Genomic DNA, 21,880 nt, shown 5'->3' on the forward strand with positions numbered 1-21,880 from the left:
GTTAGGGAATGAAGTTGCTGTAAACATTCATGACTGGGTTTTTGTGTACACATGTTTCAAATCAGTTGGGTAAGTGCCTGGGAGTGTGATCATATGGTAAGGCTATGCTCAGCTTTGTAAGAAACTTCCAATTTGGTCAAGATGTCTGACTAGTTGCAGACAGATAGAACAGCTGTCACTGTGGGACTGGGATGACTGGCACAGTCCTAACAGGTCCTCAAGACACAAAAGCTGGGCAGAAGCTGGGTGGGGCTACCGTGCAATGGGACTCGTTCCTCACCCCCAAGAACTTTGGGGGAATGGGTGAGTTGAACTGGCAAGAAGCAACCTACTCTTGCCACAAGCCTCTGGAATCCCACCGGGAGGAGACCCCTCAACCACTACAGACACAGAGTTGGCAGGGGAAGTGCTTAGAGGAGTGGTAGGAGCAGCATGGTAGCCGATATGGAGCCCAGAGGGTTTGTTGCAGGAACATCTATAGCAGAGCACGGCCAGGGATACCCATCTCTCCAGACTTGACTTGCCTCCATAGGAGACTTTAGCCCTAGGGGAACTGTCAGATATGAATTCTGCAGGGCAGTCTTCCCATCAGATGGGGCAGATCCAACCTTAGTACCCCCTGGTCTGCTGACCTCTCCCAGTGCTCCAGCCTGGTTTTTTTCTGCTTGCAGTACAGACTCAGGTTCCCTGGGGACCCGCATCTTAGCTTCTGCAATGGCAGACCATATCTAATTGGTGGAGAGCTCCAGCGGGGTGGCCCCTAGGGCCATGCACCAACCTGCCTGCTCCCTCCCTCTGCTGCAGCTTCTTCCAAGCCCATGGCCAACCACCCCTGCCCCCTGACATCATTTGGCTGGCTTGTATGTGTGCAGGTGGATTTTCCCTTCCCTTCACCACCAGCTTGTGTGAGCACGTGTACGCTGCCCTGCCTCTGCTGCCAGCAGGAGTGCACTCTGCTCCCCTTCCTCGGCCATACTACCATTGCAGTCAGAGCTGTAGTGGGCACAGAGCCCACCAGTCCTGCCTCTGTCAGTGACCTGCCCCTGTGCCAACACTGCCACCAGAATGAAACTAGGCACTGAAAACAATGAACCCTCCCCTGCCCTGAGTAGCCACAGAGGGTGCACACACACCTGAACCCACCAGTGTCCTGCCCCCATACTAACACCACCATCAGTGCACCAATGCACACAGTCACCAATGGGGGCCTGCTGACCCCCCAAGTTATGCTGACTCTACCCCTGCTGTCAATGCCTTCATGGAGGCAGGCATCTCAGCACCTGCTAGCAGTCTGCTGCAGCTGACAAGCATGCATCCTGATTTAATACTGCTGGTTCTGGTGCTGCTGAGGGCACCTGTGAATGAGGACAGACCCCCCCCCCCTACTGCCACCACACTACAAAACCCTTTGACTAGCACCATTCCATCAACGTGTAGTGACCAGCAGTCCAGGAGCACCTTAGCACCCCCATCACAGTCTGTTCATAATCTTGAGAAGTCAGAGAACAAAGTAGGGTAGGATATAAGTCCCCCAGAATTAAAACATGCAGCTGGGGAGATGACAGCTGAACCTTGGTCCCCAAAATCTTCCAGAAATAAAGCCAGTTGACTGAACCCACTTTATAACACAATCAAACTCTCAAAGTCATCTAATAAGATAAAAAAAAAATCCAAAGGACAAGAACTTCAAAGATTGAAAAAACACTAGCCCACAAAAATGAGAAAAAAACAGTGCAAGAACTCTGACAAGTCAAAAAGCCAGCATGCTGTCTTTCCTCCGAATGCCTCCACCAGCTCTCCACCAAAAGTTTTTAACTGAACTGGGTTGGCTGAAGTGACACAAATAGAATTTGGAGTATGGATAGAAATGAAGAGCAACAAGGTACAGGAGTATGTTGAAACCCAATCCAAGGAAGCTAAGAATCACAATAAAACAATGCAGGAGCTGACAGACAAAATAGACAGTATAGAAAAGAACATAACTGACCTGATAGAACTGAAAAACACACTGCAAAAATTTCATGATGCAATCACAACTATTAACAGCAGAATAGACCAAGCAGAAGAAATGATATTAGTGCTTTAAGACTGGCATTCTGAAACAAGACAGGCAGACAAGAATAGAGAAAAAAGAATGAAAAGGAAGAAACAAAACCTCTGATAAATATGTTTATGTAAAGAGAACAAATCTATGATTCACTGGTGTCCCTGAAGGAGATGGGGAGAATGGCAGCAACTTGGAAAACATATTCCAGGATATCATTCATGAGAACTTCCTCAACCTAGCTAGAGAGGCTAACATTCAAATTCAGAAAATACAAAAACCCATTTAAGGTACTTCACAGGAAGATCACCTCCAGGACACATAATTATCAGATTTTCCAAGGTTGAAATGAAAGAAAAAAATGCAAAAGGCAGCCAGAGAGAAAGGTCAGGTCACCTACAAAGGGAAGCCCATAAGACTAAGCAGACCTCTCAACAAAAACTCTACAAACCAGAAGAGGTTGGGGGCCAATATTCAAGATTCTTAAAGAAAAGAAATTCCAAACTAGAATTTTACATCTAGCCAAACTATGCTTCATAAGTGAAGGAGAAATAAGATCCTTTTCAGACAAGCAAATGCTGAGGGAATTTGTTACTACCAGACTGACCTGCCTTACAAGAGCTCCTGAAGGAAGCACTAAATAAGAAAAGGAAATATCATTACCAACCACTTCAAAAATACACTGAAGTACATAGACCAATGACACTAGAAAGCAGCCACACAAACAAGTATGTATGGTAACCAACTAACAGCATGATGACAGGATCAAATCTACACATATCAATACTAACTTTGAATGTAAAAGGGGTAAATGCCCCAATTAAAAGGCACAGAGTGATAAGCTGGATAAAAAAGCAAGACCCAATGGTATGCTGTCTCAAGAGACATGCAGTGACACGCATAGGCTCACATGCAATGACACGCATAGGCTCACATGCAATGACACACATAGGCTCACATGCAATGACACCCATAGGCTCATATGCAATGACACCCATAGCCTCAAAATAAAGGGATGGAGGAAAATCTACTAAGTAAATAGAAAACATAAAAAATACAGAGATTGTAATCCTAATTTCAGACAAAACAGACTTTAAACCAACAAAGATAAAAAAAGACAAAAAAGGGTAATGACATAATGGCAAAGGGTTCAATTCAACAAGTAGTGCTAACTATCCTAAATATACGCGCACTTAACACAGGAGCACCCTGTTCAAACAAATTCTTAGAAACCTACAAAGAGACTTAGACTCACACACAATAATAATGAGAGACTTCAACACCCTACTGACAGTATTAGACACATCACTTAGGCAGAAAATTAGCAAAGATATTCAGGACCTTAACTCAGCACTGGATCAAATGGACCTGATAGATGTTTACAGAACTCTCCACCAAAAAGCAACAGAATATACATTCTTCTCATCACCCCATGGCACATATTCTGAAACTGTTTCATGGAGGAAACTGTTTCATGGAGAGGAAGCCACAGGGCTGACAGGAAACCAGACCTTAACCTCCCTCTGCACCTGCCCTGAGGCTGGCTCTTGTGCTCAGTGGGTCCTGAGTGTCCCCAGGTGGTCCTGTTCCCTCTTCAGGGAGGCTTGTTTCTGGGCTCATACTGACATTTTTTCTAATTGTGTTCCCCAAAATGGAGACAGAGTAAACCGTGAATCCATGCATCTCAGAGAACACAGAACAGCAGAATTACACCCACTGATCCCCCCACACACATTTAGGTAAATCTTATTAAAACTGCTGAAAAGGAAAGACAAATAGAAATATATGCAGGCAAGTGGAGGTGAGCAGAGGGGGCATTCCTTCCAAAAGAACAGAAAAGATGATGACAGCATTCTTCTGGTTAAAACCTTACAAGCAAGAGGAAAGTTGATGGTATCTGTAAAGTGTTGGATGAAAAGTCAACCCATTATTTTATAACGCATGGGTGTTCTCTAAAAAGTGAAAAAAAATTCTATTTCTCTTCGACAGCATGAGGGTTTCAGTGAATCCAGGCCCTCATGAGACCAGTGAAAATTATTTTGAAAAATTACAGGGTTTGGAAAGGCTCTAACAGCATAAAGCAAGTGAAGAAATATTTATTCAAGAAAATCTAGAAAACTCGGTAAGGCCAGTCATCATGCTTGATCTAAGATGATCTTCCTTCCTTCCACATCCCAGCTCAGCATGATGTAAACTCCACTGCCGACAGATGCAGCCAAGAAGACAGGACACCTTCTACCAACTCCCACCAGAGGAAACTCTTCCCCAGGGCCCAGTACGTTGGCCCTCTGACCCTGCACACAGCACATGATGCTGAGGTTCAGTGCTGAACAAGAGCTACCGAGAGCCAGAGACTCACTTCTTCCATGGAGCCCCACTCATGGATGGAGGCTCTGCCCCGGGTCCAGTGCCACTGGGAACACTGGGTCTCTGGTTTCTAGCTCTGTCCTATGGCAGAGGTTCCACCCCACAATAACCGAAGTGCTGAGAAGGTGGGAAGCTCCTGCCCGACCCTCCACTGAGAGCTCAGCTCCTAGGCTGAGGAATAAAACAGCTCAACTTTGTCTACACCTGCAGAACCTTGTTTAGGAGCTCTGTCCCAGGAGAGAGGGAGCAATGGAATTCAGTCATAAAATATGATCCTTAATTAGTCCTAAAAATCCTAACTTCAGTAACAACAGAATGTGGACAAATTGAAAGCCTGCCAGTGCTCTCAAAAACAGTGGATGGTGTGGTGGAAAGCCCTTGGAAGGAGATGGGTGGATGCATGGGAGATGCAGGCTACACTGCAGGGCTGCTGGCTTGCAGGAGAGAACCGAGAATGAGGGAGAGCTGGGGAAAGTTCTCTTGTGGTTGAAACAAATGCCAGACACTCTTCAATGGAGCCCATGTTTGTTTGGTTCAGTCTGTGAAGTAATTCAAACCTCAGTGCATGATTGAAAATAGTACAATTTTCCATCTGCAAGTGGCAGCCCTGGATGACTGGATGGTCTATAATTGGGACACGTATCTAGACTCAACGATGCCTGGATGGAAAATGTGCAGGCTGCTCCACTGATGTCAGCTGTTTCATCACAGTTTTATGATTTAATAAAAGTCATATTTTTTTTCATTTTTGCACATCAAATTTTTTTCTGTGATCCATATTCCTAAGCCCATCTTTGAGCTCACAGCCCTTTCCCAAGAAATCAACATCTAGACCTCCCTCTTCTCGGGGCTCCGAGGTGATTCCTGAGTGGCATCCTCTCCACCTCCCTGCTGGGAACAGAGCCAGTTGCAGGGCTCACGGGCAGCCTTAGAATGTCTGCTCCTCCGGGGTGTCCCCCTGCTTCTCACTGGAGAAGAGGCCTCTGGGGTGGTCACAGCCTCTTTCTCCACATGAACCCTGAGAGTTCTTCCTGAGCTACACAGCTGGGGGAAGACTGCCCTAAGAGACGTGAAAAGAGAGACATGGGAAGTGAGGTGTCTCAGCTCTTGTCTCCCCTGGGTGGTGTGGCCTGACCTCACCAGAGCCCCAGCCTAACCCACCTGACCTGTCCCCAGGAGCTGTACTGAGCGATGGCTGCACCTGCTCAGTTACCTGTGGGGCCCAGTGCCTCTGAGAGAGGTGCCCAGTGAGGGCTCTGCAGGGCTCCCCCCGAGCAGGAGCTGGGCTGAGGGAAATCAGCAGGAGGTAGGGGCTGCCCAGGCCCTGGGGAGGCAGGCAGCGTGGAGAGGACACAGAGGTGCACTGGGAGGGCGCAAGCCAGTCAGGACCACCCTCTCAGCTCTGAGAAATGAGCTATGCTCACGGAATGCTCACAGTCAAATCCTGCTGGGAGGGCCATCCTCTGCTCGGGTTCTCTACTGTCCAGGGCAGGAATGACTCATGTGGCCATTCAGAGGCGAGGCCCCACCAGGAAGCATCCACTGACTGCCCAAGGCTGTGCATCCCCATAGCGCTGAGCTCATGTCCCTGACCTGTGGCCTCTGGGCCCACACTCTGCTCAAAGTTCCCTCAGGGGGATGAAGGGAGAGGCGGGCCCTAGGGCAAGGGTGCCCAGGAGGAGAGAAGGAAAAGGCAAGCATGTCTTCATCAGTGGGGTTTTCTCCTGAGAGCAGAATTCATTTCCACACCTTCCAAGTTCCCTCTTGTGGCTGGCACTTCTCTGACCTGGAGCCCCAGATGGCGGGGCACTCAGAAGAGGGAGGGTCATTCCTGGGAGCAGATAAGGCCTCCTCCTTCTCCAGCTCCTGAATCAGAAACTGAGGCCTCCCCTGGACCTTCCCTGCTTATGACTGGGGCCTCCCACGTGCAAAGCACACCTTCATCTTGCACTGAAGTCTCAGGACCTGGAGAGCACCTCCACACGGGGGGCTGGATCCTCCTGGAACTGTAAGCCTTGCCCAGAAAGCCCTGAAGGGGAGCAGGGAGGCGGCAGCAGCACAGCCTTCTTCAGCTTCCAGGGGAAGGGATGAGGGAGGCGGGTGGACGAGCTTCCAACCGGCATGGCATGGGATGCTGAAAAACGCGATGGGCTCTGGCCTATTGGAGCCATCTCTCCTTGTCCTGTACCTGCCCCTTGGGGGTTTAGGGCAGAGGAAATGTTGGCTTGTTGTGTGAGTCAGATAAACAGGTGGGGAGAATGGGCCCGTATGCCCTGGTTTGCACAGGAAAGGTGTGCTCACCAGCAAGTGTTTCTTCTAGAAATTAAGTAATCCTGGGACAGGCTTTTCCTCCCCAGTTCCACAAGACTCCAAGATGTCAGAGTATCATAAACACGGAGAATAAGGACACAGGATTAACCCAACCCAACCTCTGATGGTTTCATGTCATGTGAAGGAATTTTTGGAGTGTTGATGCTGAAGAGTTTACAGAGTGTGGCTACATCAGTTGCCCTAAAGGATATAGAAAACATTTTACTGTGAGAGTAGAGAGGAGGAACACAAGTAGAAGTATCAAGAGTCGCTGCCAGCCAGCCCATAAATAGGTTTCCCATTTGTATGACAGCCAAGAAACCTGGTCTGAGACAGCTGGGGTCGCAAACAATGTCTTGGTGCAGTTATAAATTTCTTTATGCATGTATTTTTCTAACAATAATATTTTGGTGTCTTTCTTGGGTCAAGGTGGCAGGTCCTCTAGTCACATTGTTGGAGTGCATGGATGGATGGGTTAGTAAATTATTTCTCAAGATTAGTGGTAATCAAAAGGTGGAAGTGTTGGTGGTGGTCGTAGTTCAGAGATGCGGGTTGGGAGTGGGAAAAGTTACTGGGGAGTGGGTGGTTCTCTCCTCATGGTGTCAAAGGGTTGATGGATATGAGGCAGGTTCCTTTGTGTGCAGCAATGACCTCTGCTGATTTTCAGACTGACAGAGATGGTAGTAACCACTATCAGATTTCTCTGTATGAACAGAAATGTAGTGTAGCATGTTGTGGCAAACAGCAAGGAGTGCACTGGGATCCTGGACCAAATGGACAGCAAGCTCAGGGAGCACAATAGGATCCCTAGTATCCAAGGGACAAAAGCAAGGCATGTCCAATGCCTTATTGTTTCATTGAGAGACTTCCCAGGCCATGACTGGTGTTAAGGTTTAGGGCACAACTGTCTCCAGCTCGCCGGGGAAAAGCCAAAGCCACCTCCAGCTTTGAGCCCTGGGCCAGGCCGATGTGCTCTAGGATGGGGTACTAGGGTGTCCTTTCCAGGTGGGCATGTGCTCAAGCGGACTGACTGGCTATCAGCACTTGCCGTGTTTGGTTGAAGTGATGGCCTATTTGGAGGTTTCTGCCCTTTGGATTATAACAAATAAGTCCACAATACAAGCAGCCACATGGACAATGGTGAGACCAGCAGTCAACAGAGGGGTGCTTGGCTGCAGTTGGCAGGTGTTGATGTTGTTTTCATTTGTTTTTTGAGTTTGTTTTTGTGGAACTTTACGTTCAAATGGGCTCATATCAGATGAGCAGCCGACTGACCCACGGGACCCTCTATGGCTAATCATCCGAGGAGAGTTTTTACCCTCAATAGGTTCTCCAGCCCTTATGAGATAAGAGCAACATCAAACATTTGTAAAGATATGGAAATAATATTTTAAATAGCCTCAATAATGCAATGAATATAAGCCTATAAGTATCTCAAAGGGTGATGGAGAAGTCCTGAAAGCTGGGATGAGGGCGACTCAGCTAAGAGCCTTGAATTTAGGGAGAGTTAGTTCTACAGAAGTTGGAGATCCATTGGGTGTCCATTTACTGGAGTGGAATTTGAAGGAATTGTTTGAGGAGATCAGTATGTCTCTGAGTTAAACCAGCCCATAATTAAGTTCTATTGAATGGGGCCTAAGAGGCATGAAGTTCTATCAAGTGGCTTTTTCTGTATCCAGCATTGTGTGTTTTGAAAAGTAAAATGTGTGACTTGGTTACTGTCAGCAAAGTATGCAATTTTGAAGGACATTAGTGTCCCACCAAAGCCTCGTATTGTGAACTTATTATGTGCAGAGATATGAGCCACTTGATTTATATTTTCAGTGTCTGGGAGGCAAGAGACTTTCAGATTTCCTTACCCTGAAGACAGCTCTTAAACAACGTCTGAGCTGTTTATAATAAATGTGGAAATGGAGCCATTGGTTCGATAGGGCACCCAATGCTGGTGTGACTGCCTGATGTCTGCCTAATTTTGGGGATCCCCAGCCCCATCCTTTGTTGGGACATATGGCCAAGAGAGGGAGAGCAGAAGCATGCCCCAAGCCCCATCACTTGTCATCCTTGCAGCCCGCAAATGCCAGTCACTGTCCACTCAGTGAGTCCCAGCGTTCTTCCCATGTGGCCGAGAGGTGGCCTCCTCCAGCACTTGGGCACCTGCCAGGTGACTGTGGATATAGGAAGCCAGTCCTGCTGCAAGCAGAAATGACAGAGGGCCTGGGTGTTGCTTTATCCTGTCTTAAGAAGGCCTCTGGAGCCATGCTAAGTGTGTGGGGTGCTGTTCCCGTGACCCCAAACACAATAGTTAGCTGGATGTGTCCAAATAGTCCAGGTTGTAGACAGCAATGTTCAGTTGAATGATTTATAGTCCAAGGCCAAAGGGAGCAGTTACTTGCCTTGGAAACTGTCGAGCATCTTAAGGCCACATTGATCGCCCAGAGACACCAGGAGGCATGAGAAGGGTTTGCCAAGTTTCTTTAGTGAAGGAGTTTCTGAGGATACTAACAGAAGAGCCTGTTGATTTTAAATTAGGCACACTGTTGAGCCTTTTGTTGAAGGAAATTTCATTTAGGGGAGGTGATTTATAAGTAGCAACAACAGCGAGGCTAGTTGAAATTTATGGGTGAGGAATATGTTGCACCAGAACCCACAAGGAACAGCAGGATGTGGCATTTGTATGTCCTTAATGAAAGTATGGGGAGCATCTCCTCAGAGGAGGTGTCAGCAGTGCTGCGGAGGAAGGCAGATGCAGTGAGGAGCCAGCCTGCGAAGCTCTCATGTGGTGGCCACGCCGCTGAGGTGCCCGCGTATCCTGAGAAGGGTGTCCTTCCCAGGCAAAGACAATCTGCAGCTAAGGGGCTGCTGAGATGGGCGCTGAGTACAACCAATTAGACACATCTGGAAGAGCAAAGTCTGCACTGGCTGTTGGTTAAAGCCAGTCGTTTTGAGAACATTGGGAGTATGGGGCCCTAATGGGTGGGGCCACGGCATGAAAGTTGTGACAATCCAACATAGGGCAACCTTCATGCTATTGTCTTTTCTTCTTCACCGGTTTAAGAACAGGCAAGATTTGGCTGTGAAATAGAGAAGCAATGGGAAAAATCACCTCTTTATTGATTAGATTTGTATAATAGTTTTTAATCTTCGAAGGTCCATTTTCACTTCTGTTGGAATATATTAACTACATAAACTGGAACTCTTTGAGTTCCATTTTATCAAGCCAATGCACAAGTGCCAAACACCTCATTCCATTTTAATTTAATTCATTGTGTCAGAGTGTATGCCCAATATGAGATATTTTAGGACAAAGGACATTATGATCATGTGAAATCTAGGCAAGGCAACCGCTAAAGTGCGGTGTGTCTATTTCTTCTTCCAAATATATTGATTTCTATTTAATTATCTTAAGTTCACATGGGATACATGTTTAAATCTTGAAATCTAATGAATTTCCTAGGTATAGCTATTATTGGAGCCCTGGTATTGATCACAAAGTTTGCCAATTGGTGCAATCCCAAAAATGCTAAAGTGAAATTACAATGGACCAGTATACAGTTCCAAGGTCAGAGTCTGGAAGGCGTTTCACAGAACTAAAGACTTGAGCACCAGCCATGCTGCTTCCTTCTAGAGTTATCTGGGAGAATCTATCTCTTGCCTTTGCCAGCTCCTAGGGGCGCCTGCGTTCCCCGGCTGGTGGCTGTGTGACTGACCTCCGCTTCCATCCCACACCTCCCCAGTCTTGGACTCTGCTGCTCCTCTTTCTCCTCATCAGGACCCCAGGGCATATGGCATGCACAGGCCAGGGTGACTGTAACATCCAAGGGCCTCTATCACGTCAGCCCAGTCCCTTTGGCCCTGCAGGTGATGTCTTTGTAGAGCCCCAGGACTATGGCATGGGCATCTTTGGGGGGCATTCTTCTGCCTGCTGCAGGATCTAGATTCCCCTCTCTAGAACCTGTAGTGTAGAGGGGCACGAAGCCAACCAGCTTCATTTTCAATTTTTGTCTTAGAAGTTATTTCAGTACAGAATTTTGTATATAAACTTTGGATTTCTAATTGGTCAAATGATGGACATTTATTTAAATTTAGTTATATATATACATTATATATACCAAAGTGATATATAATTATATAAATAATTATAATACTGTTATAATTATATAAATAATTATAATACTGTTATAATTATATAAATAATTATAATACTGTCATAATTATATTAGAAATATACTATTATAATTTTATAATAATTACATTTATATAAAATATCTATATGTAGTTTCATGATTATTTAGTTCCTTTTCATTTTTGGAACCTATGCTAATATTTCCCCTCTATTGCTCCTCTTTCCCTAAGGTCTCGAGTTCCTCTGAGCCTGATGATGAGCCAGGACAGGAAGGGGCCTGGGCCTCCAGGCAGCAGCATCTCTCCAGGATGCCCCCAGCCACAGCATAAGGAATTCCTACACTTTTGTTATCTTAAACAAAACCTTCTAGAATTCCTTCTAACTCTAGGAGACTGAAATGTATTTTTCTTTCTTTCAACTGTCTCCTGTCTGTCCCTGACTCCCTCACTCCGTTTTTTAATGTTTGGCCATTTATCTCATGAGCTTACTAAAAATAAATTGTATACTCAGCAATGGATAACATAGAAGAAATGGATAAATTCCTAGATATGTACAATCTTCCAAGATTGAATCTTGAAAAAGTAGAAACAGAACTATTACTAGTAAAAGACTGAATCAGTAATCGAAAGCGAGCTTGGAACCACTTCCAAAAGTTTTTTTGTTTGTTTGTTTGTTTGTTTTTTGAGATGGAGTCTCGCTCTGTTGCCCAGGCTGGAGTGCATGGCATGATCTCTGCTCACTGCAAGCTCCACCTCTCAGGTTCACGCCATTCTCCTGCCTCAGCCTCCTGAGTAGCTGGGATGACAGGTGCCCACCACCATGCCCGGCTAATTTTTTGTATTTTTAGTAGAGATGGGGTTTCACCTTGTTAGCCAGGATGGTCTCGATCTCCAGACCTTGTGATCCACCCATCTCGACCTCCCAAAAGTTTTAAGATGAAGAAATACTTCTAAACTTATTTTATAAAGTCAGCATTGCCCTGAAATCAAAACCAGGCAAACACCAAATTAACATAAATTACAGACCACTCTTACTGAAACACAAAGATGCAAAAAGTACTCAACAAAATATTGGCAAATCAAACTGAACAGCACATTACAAGGATCATTTGCCATGATCCAGTGGAATGTCTCTCTGGAATATTGGGATGGTGCAACATCTAAACATCACTGAATCTGATGGACCACATTAACATAATGAAAGACTAAAATATTATCTCATCAGATGCATAAAAATCATTTGACAAATTTCAACATCTTTCCATGATAAAACCTCTTAACAAACTACAAATAAAGGGAAATTATCTGGACATATTGAAAGCCATATTTAAAAGCCCACAGTTAGCATCATAGCCAATGCTGAAACACTGAACAAGCTTCCACTTAGATGATGGAGAAGACAAGGATGCCCTATCTCACCAATTCTGTTCTACATAGTATTGTAAGTCCTAGTCAGAGAACTTAGGCAAGAAAAAGTTACTAAATCAGAAAGAGAGGAGTAAAGGTGTCACTGTTTACAGATGACATGTCTTGTATGTAGAAAATCCTAAAAATTGCCCCCCAAAATCAAAACAAAACCAAAACAAAACAGCTGTAAGTTGCTAATTTGTGTGTATAAAATTGGTGTTCTGCAAGATGAATAAGTTCTGGAGACTGGATGCACAGAATCCTGAGTCTAGATAACTTGACTGCACAGTACACTTAAAAATTTGCTGAGAGAGTGTATCTCATGGTAGGTATTCTTATCACAATACAAACTTTAAAAGTTGTATATGAGGACATTGGTACTGCTTTCATATTATTTATTATGAATGAATTTCCAAAAAAAGTGTTATCAGTAATGAGTTGAGGTAATGAGTAATTCATATACAGGAATAGCCTCAAGAGAACAAGAGGAAGAGATGCATTTAGAGTAGAAATCCTCACACTTTAGATGCATTTTAAATGTCTGGATAATGGAGTACTTAAAAAGGGATGTGTCTGTCTCTTCCCCCAACTATTGAGAATTAGTTCCTGAGTAAATCAAAGAACATTATTTTATCCAGCCCCGGTAGGTCCTGAGGTCCTTGTCTCTGGCATCACAGAATGGGTTAGAGTGCAGGGCTGGCGTAGAGCTCCTGAGACAGTAATGTGATGTTGTCCAAAGCTCCATGGGTGAGGAGAGCCACACCACAGGTGGGACCCAAGGAAAGAGCCCAGGAGCTGTGCTGGGCTCAGCACTGAGGAAGCAAGACCTGGGCCTGTGGATAGGGGGAGCTGCGCTAGAAACAAGGAAGGGCAGGAGGGAAGAGGGGTTGGAAGGAAAGTAGCCCTGGGATCAGAATGGCAGGGCTGTCCTTTGCCTATTCCCATTTGTCTCGCAGACCAAGTGTCCTCCAACCACCAAATGTCAAGTGACATGCGTGCCACATGAGTTTAGGAGGAAAGGCACTCTACACAACGCTCAACTACCAGGAGGTAGGGGCCATATCTTAACTTTTCTACTTATAAAAAGAGTCAGCTAGGCTGGGCACGGTGGCTCATGCCTATAATCCCAGCACTTTGGGAGGCCGAGGCAGACAGATCACATGAGGTCAGGAGTTTGAGACCAGCCTGGCTAAGTGACAAAACCCTGTCTCTACTAAAATTACAAAAATTAGTCAGGCATGCTGCTGGGCACCTGTAATCCCAGCTACTAGGGAGGCTGAGGCAGGAGAATCGCTTCAACCCGGGAGAAAGAGGTTGTAGTGAGCCGAGATTGCACCACCGCACTCCAGCCTGGGCGACAGAGCGAGACTCTGTCTCTAAATAAATAAATAAATAAATAGTCATCCACCCCGTGTAATTTTTTGTTTTAGCTCTGGGGTAAAATCCACCCCTGGGCTGTGGAAGCATCCAGTCACTTCTCAGACTGGGACGGTGTCTCTGGGGAAGACAAAGGTGGGTTCAGAAGAAGATGAGATTGCTGGGCCTTCTCCTGTGCCTGCTGACACCTCCCGAAGGTGAGCATCTCAGAGGCCAGACACGGGCTGTGGCAATAACTGTGATGTCCCATGACTGACAGGGACTGACTGTTCTTGTTCCCAGCTGTCCTGTCCCAGGTGCAGCAGCAGGAGTGAGGCTCAAGACTGGAGAAGCCGTGGCTGCCCCCTTCCTCACCTGGCACGACTCCGGATTCTCCATCACAGCCAGTGGTTACTGCGGAGGCCCGGTCCACCGGCCCCTAGACAAGGGGTTGCACTGGCTGAGGAGCATCGATTATAAGAGAAACACGAACAACCGCCGCCTCTCAAGAGCCTCATCTCCATCCAGAGACTCATCCAACAAGCAGCGCTCCCTGCGGCGGAGCTCCAGGAACCCACAGGACAGCCAGGTATTCCTGTGGGAGACACAGTGAGGGGATGCCGTGTGAACCCAGACAGGACCCTCCCTCCTGGGGGCCTGAGATGTGCAGGATGCACTCGACACTTGGGTCCACTGAAGAGCAGGCTCAGATGGGAAGTGGCGAGGACTTCTCCTTAGAATCTGAGGCTTTCTTTTCTCTAATTCTCAGATGTCCTCAGGGACATTTCATTCTCTTCTCTGTGGCTCTGATTTCCCCCTTTCTCACTGCAGGCAAAAAAGGATGAAATAACTTTCTCCACTGGCAGATAGGCTGTTTCAATTTCATAGAAACCTTCCCTTCATCCGGCTCCCACGTGGTCTGCTTTTTCCTTCATCTGCTTCCATGTGGTCTGCTTTCCTTCCTGAAAAACAGGTCATGTTCAGGATTCACACTTGCTCGAGAAATTCTTCCCTCAAACTCCAGTTCAGACCAGGCACACCCTCTCCCACATCTGTCCCCACGTGGACCCTTCCATGAGATGACCCCACCTGTCCCCAGGTGGACCCTTCCCTCAGACGAGCACACCTGTCCCCAGGTGGACCCTTCCCTCAAACAAGCACACCTGTCCCCACGTGGACCCTTCTCTGAGAGGAGCACACCTGTCCCCACGTGGATCCTTCCTTCAGATGAGCACATCTGTCCCCACGTGCACCCTTCCCTGAGACAAGGACACCTGTCCCCACGTGGATCCTTCCTTCAGATGAGCCCCCCTGTCCCCACGTGGACCCTTCCCTCAAATGAGTACACCTGTCCCCACGTAGACCCTTCTCTGAGAGAAGCACACATGTCCCCAAGTGGACCCTTCCCTGAGTCAAGCACACTTGTCCCCAGGTGGAACCTTCCTCCACACGAGCACACCTGTCCCCACGTGGACCCTTCCCTGAGACAAGCACACCTGTCCCCACGTGGACATTTCCCTCAGAGGGGCACACCTGTCCCCACGTGGACCCTTCCCTGAGACAAGAACACCTGTCCCCACATGGACCCTTCCCTTGGAGGAGCACACCTGTCCCCACGTGGACCCTTCCTTCAGACAAGCACACCTGTCTCCATGTGGACTCTTTGCTCAGAGGAGCACAGGTGTACCCATGTGGACCCTTCCCTGAGACAAACACACCTGTCCCCACGTGGCCCCTTCCCTGAGATGAGCTCATCTGTCCTCTTCCCCAAGGCGAGCACACCTGTCCCCACGTGGACCTTTCCCTGAGACAAGCACACCTGTCCCCACATGGACCCTTCCCTCAGAGGAGCATAACTGTCCCCATGTGGACCCTTCCTTCAGATAAACTCACCTGTCACCACGTGGACCCTTCCCTCAGAGGAGCACACCAGTCCCCATGTGGACCCATCCTTCAGACAAGCTCACCTGTCCCCATGAACCCTTCCCTGAGACAAGCACACCTGTCCCTACATGGACCCTTCTCTCGGATGAGCACACCTGTCCCCATGTGGGCCCTTCCCTGAGACTACCACACCTGTCCCCACGTGGACCCTTCCTTGAGACAAGCACACCTGTCCCCACTTCGATGCTTCTCTCAGATAAGCACAACTCGCCCCACCTGGACCCCTCCCTGAGACGAACTCACCTGTCGCTACGTGGATTCTTGCCTTAGACAAGCACCTCTGTCCCCACGTGGACCCTTCCCTGAGGGAATCACACCTGTCCCCAGGTGGACCCTTACCTCAGACAAGCATGCCTGTCCCCAGGTCAATCCTTCCCTCAAAAGAGCACACCTGTCCACGTGAGGACCCTTCCTTGAGACAAGCACTCCTGTCCCCACATGGACCCTTCCCTCAGACGAGCTCACCTGTCCCCATGTGGACCCTTCCCTGAGACAAGCACAGCTGTCTCCATGTGGAATCTTCCTTCAGACAAGCACACCTGTCCCCACATGGACCCTTCCCTCAGACGAGCTCACCTGTCCCCATGTGGACCCTTCCCTGAGACAAGCACAGCTGTCTCCATGTGGAATCTTCCTTCAGACAAGCACACCTGTCCCCACATGGACCCTTCCCTCAGATGAGCTCACCTGTCCCCATGTGGACCCTTCCCTGAGACAAGCACGCCTGTCCCCATGTAGACCCTTCCTTCAGAGGAGCTCACCTGTGCTCAGACACCACCAGGGTCCTCAGACACTAATAGGGTGGCTCAGACACTAATAGGGTGGCTCAGACTCTAAGAGGGGGGCTCAGAAACCACCAGAAGGGCTCAGACACCACCAGAGGGCGCCCAGCAACCACGGAATGCTCAGAACCTACCGGGGGCGCTCAGGACCTACAGGGGTCGCTCAAGACCTGGCTCAGGAGCAGATGCAAAGTGAAGCTGAGGTTTCCGTTTTCTCTTTGGGGATTCCTTGTCCTGCCCTGCAAAAGCCTTGCTCAGCAGCTATTATTGTTTCTTCCCTGGAATTCCCCAGTTCCTCTCATCTGAAAAGGACTTAGAGCAGAAATCCCATTTAACTTTTCACACTTCATTTTCAGTCTCCTTCTAGTGATATTTCAGTAAAATATTAATAAGAAATAATGAAGCCACAGTCCAAATGTTAGCACCATGCAAAGATTCGTGTGTCTTCTCCACTCTGTCAGTTACGCCTTAGGAAACTCTTCTCTCAATCCACTGCTCAGTGTACACTATGGCATTGTGTTTTCTTCTTTGCTTTCATCTGCTTTGCAGGGAAATGAAGCACCATTTATTGGGACGTGTCCTCCATTTCTGATGGGCTCCCCGTGGTCTCCACCTCAGATGGTTTTGCCACCATCTTTAATCCGTTAATGCCTTCAATCGCCCTCACCATCCATGTAATGAAGCAATGAATGCCTTTACTTCATCTACTTGTGTCTCCATCAGTCAGTTCACTTCTCTCCATTCTCACAAAGGACAGCCACCCACTACTTCAGAGCCTCCTGCAGCCTTGGGTGGTAAACCTATTAAAAAGCCCCTGCTGTTTAGAAAGGGTGTGTATTGGAAACTTAATCCCAAATTCCATAGTGTCCAGAGGTGAGAATGTTAAGAAATGATTAGGCCGAGAGGGCTCTGCCCTCATGAAGCAATTAATGCCATTATCATCAGAGTAGGTTACTTATTGTGGTAGCAGATTAGTTACTACAGGCCTGGGTTCCTCATTAAAAAATGAGTTTAGCCCCCTTTCCATCCTTTGCACATGCTCTCCTGCCTTCCACATGGGCATCACAGCAAGAAGGCTCTTGCCAGATGCTAGCACCTTGACATTGACTTCCCAGCCTCTAGAGCTGGGAGAAAATAAATTTCTTTTCCTTACACATTAGCCAGTGTGTGGTATTCACTCATTGCACCACAAAGTGGACTAAGACAAAAAATCAGTATCAAGAGGTGGGGCTGTTGTGATAACAAATATCCCAAAATGTAGAAGTGGAAGTAGTAATGCACAGAGACTGGAATAATTTGGAGGATCAGGTTATAAAAAGTCTAGATTGCCATGACTAGAACACTAGGGGTATTCTTTTGAGGACTCAGAAGAAGACAGCTGTGAGGAAATTCTGAAACTTCTTAGAGATTATTTAGGTGATGATCATTAGAATGTTGGTAGAACCGTGGACAATAAAGGCCGTTCTGATGAGGTCTCAGGAGAAAAAGAAGAATAGCTCATCGGAAAATGGAGCAAAGGCCATCCTTCCCTTAAAGTGGCAAGGAATGTGGCTGAATTGTGCTCATCCCTAGGTCTTTCTGTAAAGTGGAAGTTCAGAGCCATGAGTGAGGATATATGGTGGGAGAAATTTGAAGCAAATCTATGGCCTCACTTCTAGCAGGCACTTTAGGACTCTGTTCCCTGTGTCCAGGCACAGCACTCCTTGGCTGCCCATGATGTGGCTCAGGAGGACCTAGGTGTGGCTCAAGCCATCACTTTAATGGTACAAGTCATCAACTTCCATGGCATCCATGTATTGCTAATTCTGCAGGTGTGCAGAATACCACGAGGGCATGGCTTTCTCCACCTAGATTTCAAAGAATGCTGTGGACAGCCTAAGGTCTCGGGCAGTGAGTTGTTGCAGAGACAGAGTCACCACACTGGACCCTTAGCACAATGCCAAGCAGAAATATGGGTTTGGAGGCACCACAAAGAGTTTCCAGTCAGCCTAGGAGAGCTAGAGGCCTGAGAGTCCCACCTGTGAGAGGGGCTGAGTGGACTGAACCCAGAAAATCCATAGAGGCAAGACTGCTGGAGGCCTTGGGGGCCCTTCCCCCTCCCCAGTGTGCACAAGATGCCGTCAAAGAGGATGATTTTCCAGCTATAAGACTTTTTTTTTATTATACTTTAAGTTTTAGGGTGCATGTGCACAATGTGCAGGTTAGTTACATATGTATACATGTGCCATGCTGGTGTGTGCACCCATTAACTCGTCATTTAGCATTAGGTATATCTCCTAAAGCTATCCCTCCCCCCTCACCCCACCCCACAACAGTCCCCCGAGTGTGATGTTCCCTTTCCTGTGTCCATGTGTTCTCATTGTTCAGTTCCCACCTATGAGTGAGAATATGCGGTGTTTGGTTTTTTGTTCTTGCGATAGTTTACTGAGAATGATGATTTCCAATTTCATCCATGTCCCTACAAAGGACATGAACTCATCATTTTTTATGGCTGCATAGTATTCCATGGTGTATATGTGCCACATTTTCTTAATCCAGTCTATCGTTGTTGGACATTTGGATTGGTTCCAAGTCTTTGCTATTGTGAATAGTGCTGCGATAAACATATGTGTGCATGTGTCTTTATAGCAGCATGATTTATAGTCCTTTGGGTATATACCCAGTAATGGGATGGCTGGGTCAAATGGTATTTCTAGTTCTAGATCCCTGAGGAATCACCACAAGGACTTCTACAATGGTTGAACTAGTTCAAAACCCAACAAGGGAAAAAAACATTAAGTCTCAGCTATAAGACTTAATGTTTTTTTCCTCTGTTGGGTTTTGAACTAGGCACTGCTTTCTCCTTCCCTGTCTCTGAGCTTTGGAATGGGAATTTCTATCCCATACCTGCCCCATTGTTCACTGTATTTGAAAGTAGATAACTTGTTTTGACTTTATAGGCTCACAGATGGAAAAAATTTATATCAGGCTAAATTGTGCCTTGAGTCACACTCACATCTGATTTAGATGAGACTTTAGACTTCAGACTTTTGCACTGATGCTGGATAAGACTTTGGAGACAATTGGGATGGAATGAATGTAGTTTGCATTGTGATAAGGACATAAATTTTGATATTAGGAATGGAATGCTATGACTTAAATGTGTCTCCCAAAGTTTAGGATTTGGAAAAAATCTTTAATGCAACAGTGTTGAGAGGTGGGACCTTTATTATGTGATTAGGTCATGAAGGCTCTGTCCTCATGAATGGATTAATGTCACTGTCATTGGAGTGGGTTAGTTATTACAGGAGTGAATTTCTAATAAAAGATAGTCTCCTTTCTCTCGTGGACAAATGATCTCTTGCTCACCCACCTCTGCTGTGAGACGACACAGTGAGAAGGCCCTTGTGAGATGTCAGTGCCTTGATATTAGACTTCTCTGACTCAAGCACCATAAAGTATAAATTCCTTTTCTTTAGAAATTGCCCAGTCTCTGGTATTCGGTTATAGTAACACAAAGACAGACTGAGACTAAGCCATTGTAACATGTGTGAGGTGATATCTCATCGTGGTTTTAATTTGCATTTCCCTGATGATTAGTGATGTTGAGCATTTGACTCTTTATGTTAAGTGAAATAAGCCAGGTATAAAAAATTACTCCATAATCTCACTTACACATGCAATCTAAAAATGTTGAACTCAGAGAAGTAGAGAGAAGAATGGTGCCAACCAGGGGCTGGTGTCAGGGGCATGTGAAAGCTGAGGCATTGGTGAAAGGGTACAGAGTTTTGGTTTGACAGAAGGAATTAGTTTGAAGATCTATTGCACAGCAGGGTGACTTCCATGGTACTAATGTACTATATACTTGAAAACTGATAATAGAGTAGATTTTACACGTTTACACCATAAAAAATAAGTATGTGAGGTGATGGGCATGTTTATTTACTTGATTTAATAATTTCACAATGCCTGCATATGTCAAAACATCACGTCATACCACCATAATATATGAAATAGAATATGTTTTTCTAGTAAGTGTGATGCCTCTGTTTCTCTTTTTTTTTTGGAACAAAACAATAAACACCTTTATTACATGGGTGAAGACAAAACAAGGATTTATTTGCCCTTCCGGGCCTTGATTTTCCTAAGATAGAACTCCAACTCTTTGCCCTCTAGCACATACCCATCTGCTCAGCCACACTGTCCTGGCCTTGAAGCAATGCATGCAAGAAGCTTGCCCTGCTGGAACTGCTCCCCCAGGAGACTGCTGATTTTGGCATTCTTTTTCCTTTCATGATATTTCTTCTGAATTTTTTTAGATCGCTTTTTGTTCAAAATCTCTTCTTCCTCAGGAGTCAGCTTGGCTCCCTTCTTGCAGCCCAGGGGCGGCGCATAGTGGGACTCGTACCACTGTCGGTACAGTGTGCTGTCAATGAGCACAATGCAATTCTTCACCAGGGTCTTGGGACGAACCAGCTCGTTATTAGATGCATTGTAGACAACATCGATGATCGTTGTTTTATGAGCACAACATTCTGAGCCCCAGGAGAAATTCCTCACGTCCAGCCTCAGGGCACAGTATTTCTTGTTACCTCCCCACACACGGACTGTGTGGATGCGGCGGGGGCCAGTCTTGGTGTTGGCAGCTGGGTGCCCCAACTCATACTTCCGCTTCTTGTGGTAGGGCTTTCTCTTGTCCCTGGTTTTGTGGCACTTGTGCCAGTTGTCCCAAGAGATGTCCATCGCTCGGCACTGGCTGGAAAGAGGGCCTCTGTTTCTTTAACAACAGTTTCTGGAGATTGTTTTTCCCTTGAACAATGTTTCCTCTCTGCTGTCTTTACACAGTTTTCCTTTCCCAAGGGTTGATTTAAGACAGTGACAATTTATCTATTCTGTATCTGGTAGTTTCATGGAGAAATTTAATGAATAGCCACTTGAAACCATGTGGTGCTACTGAGACACCATCTGAAGGAGACAGATTTTCTGAGTGTAGGCCACAACCATATGTTAACACATTTTAAATTCAAAATCAGGGTTTAAATTTTGATATTTTACAATGGCTTCTTTGATTCCTTCCCAAGATCTAACCATTGAGCGTGTGAAAAGGGCTGGGACTCAGTTTACTGCTGTGCTTGGCATGATGATGTCCTGCAGAAATTCCTTTGGCTTTCTACATGTAGCTCAGCCTCCATATCAGCCAGCTCGCTTGGAGGTCAGAGTACTTCTCAAAGATCCTCAGTGTGTTGTTTCATTTTGAGAGGTTTCCAGCCCTTGTGAGACACCCCTTGGTTTTACAATCATCGCAAAGTTGTTTACGATTCCAAAAACATACCTGCCATCTGTCCATATGTTTGTTCTGCAGCTTTTGATTTCCTAAAATGCTGTAGTAACTGCAATAAGTTCTACCATCTGGATTAATTTTCACCTCAGATGGAAGAGTATATTTTAAGATAAAGATAAAGTAGTAACAGTATATTCTCCTCGGTAATATCCATTTCTATATTTTGAGCTATGGTCCATCAATAAATAATGTTCTGTCAGGCTCCTCAATGGAGTGCCTGAACATCTA

The 21,880-nt window shown here is 46.4% G+C and overlaps 1 long non-coding RNA gene and 1 pseudogene across 1 annotated transcript; one reads left to right on the forward strand and one right to left on the reverse strand.

Annotated features, from left to right (window-relative positions):
- The first annotated feature begins 13,636 nt into the window (after positions 1 to 13,636).
- On the forward strand, positions 13,637 to 17,491 carry LOC107984743 (uncharacterized). Its single transcript, XR_001751429.2, has 3 exons — positions 13,637 to 13,824; positions 13,910 to 14,195; positions 16,882 to 17,491. It is a non-coding gene; the product is annotated as an uncharacterized LOC107984743 (long non-coding RNA).
- Positions 20,377 to 21,077, reverse strand: RPS8P10 (ribosomal protein S8 pseudogene 10; annotated as a pseudogene).

This window comes from Homo sapiens, chromosome 15 (assembly GCF_000001405.40).
Source record: "Homo sapiens chromosome 15, GRCh38.p14 Primary Assembly".
NCBI classification, from domain to species: Eukaryota; Metazoa; Chordata; class Mammalia; order Primates; family Hominidae; genus Homo; species Homo sapiens.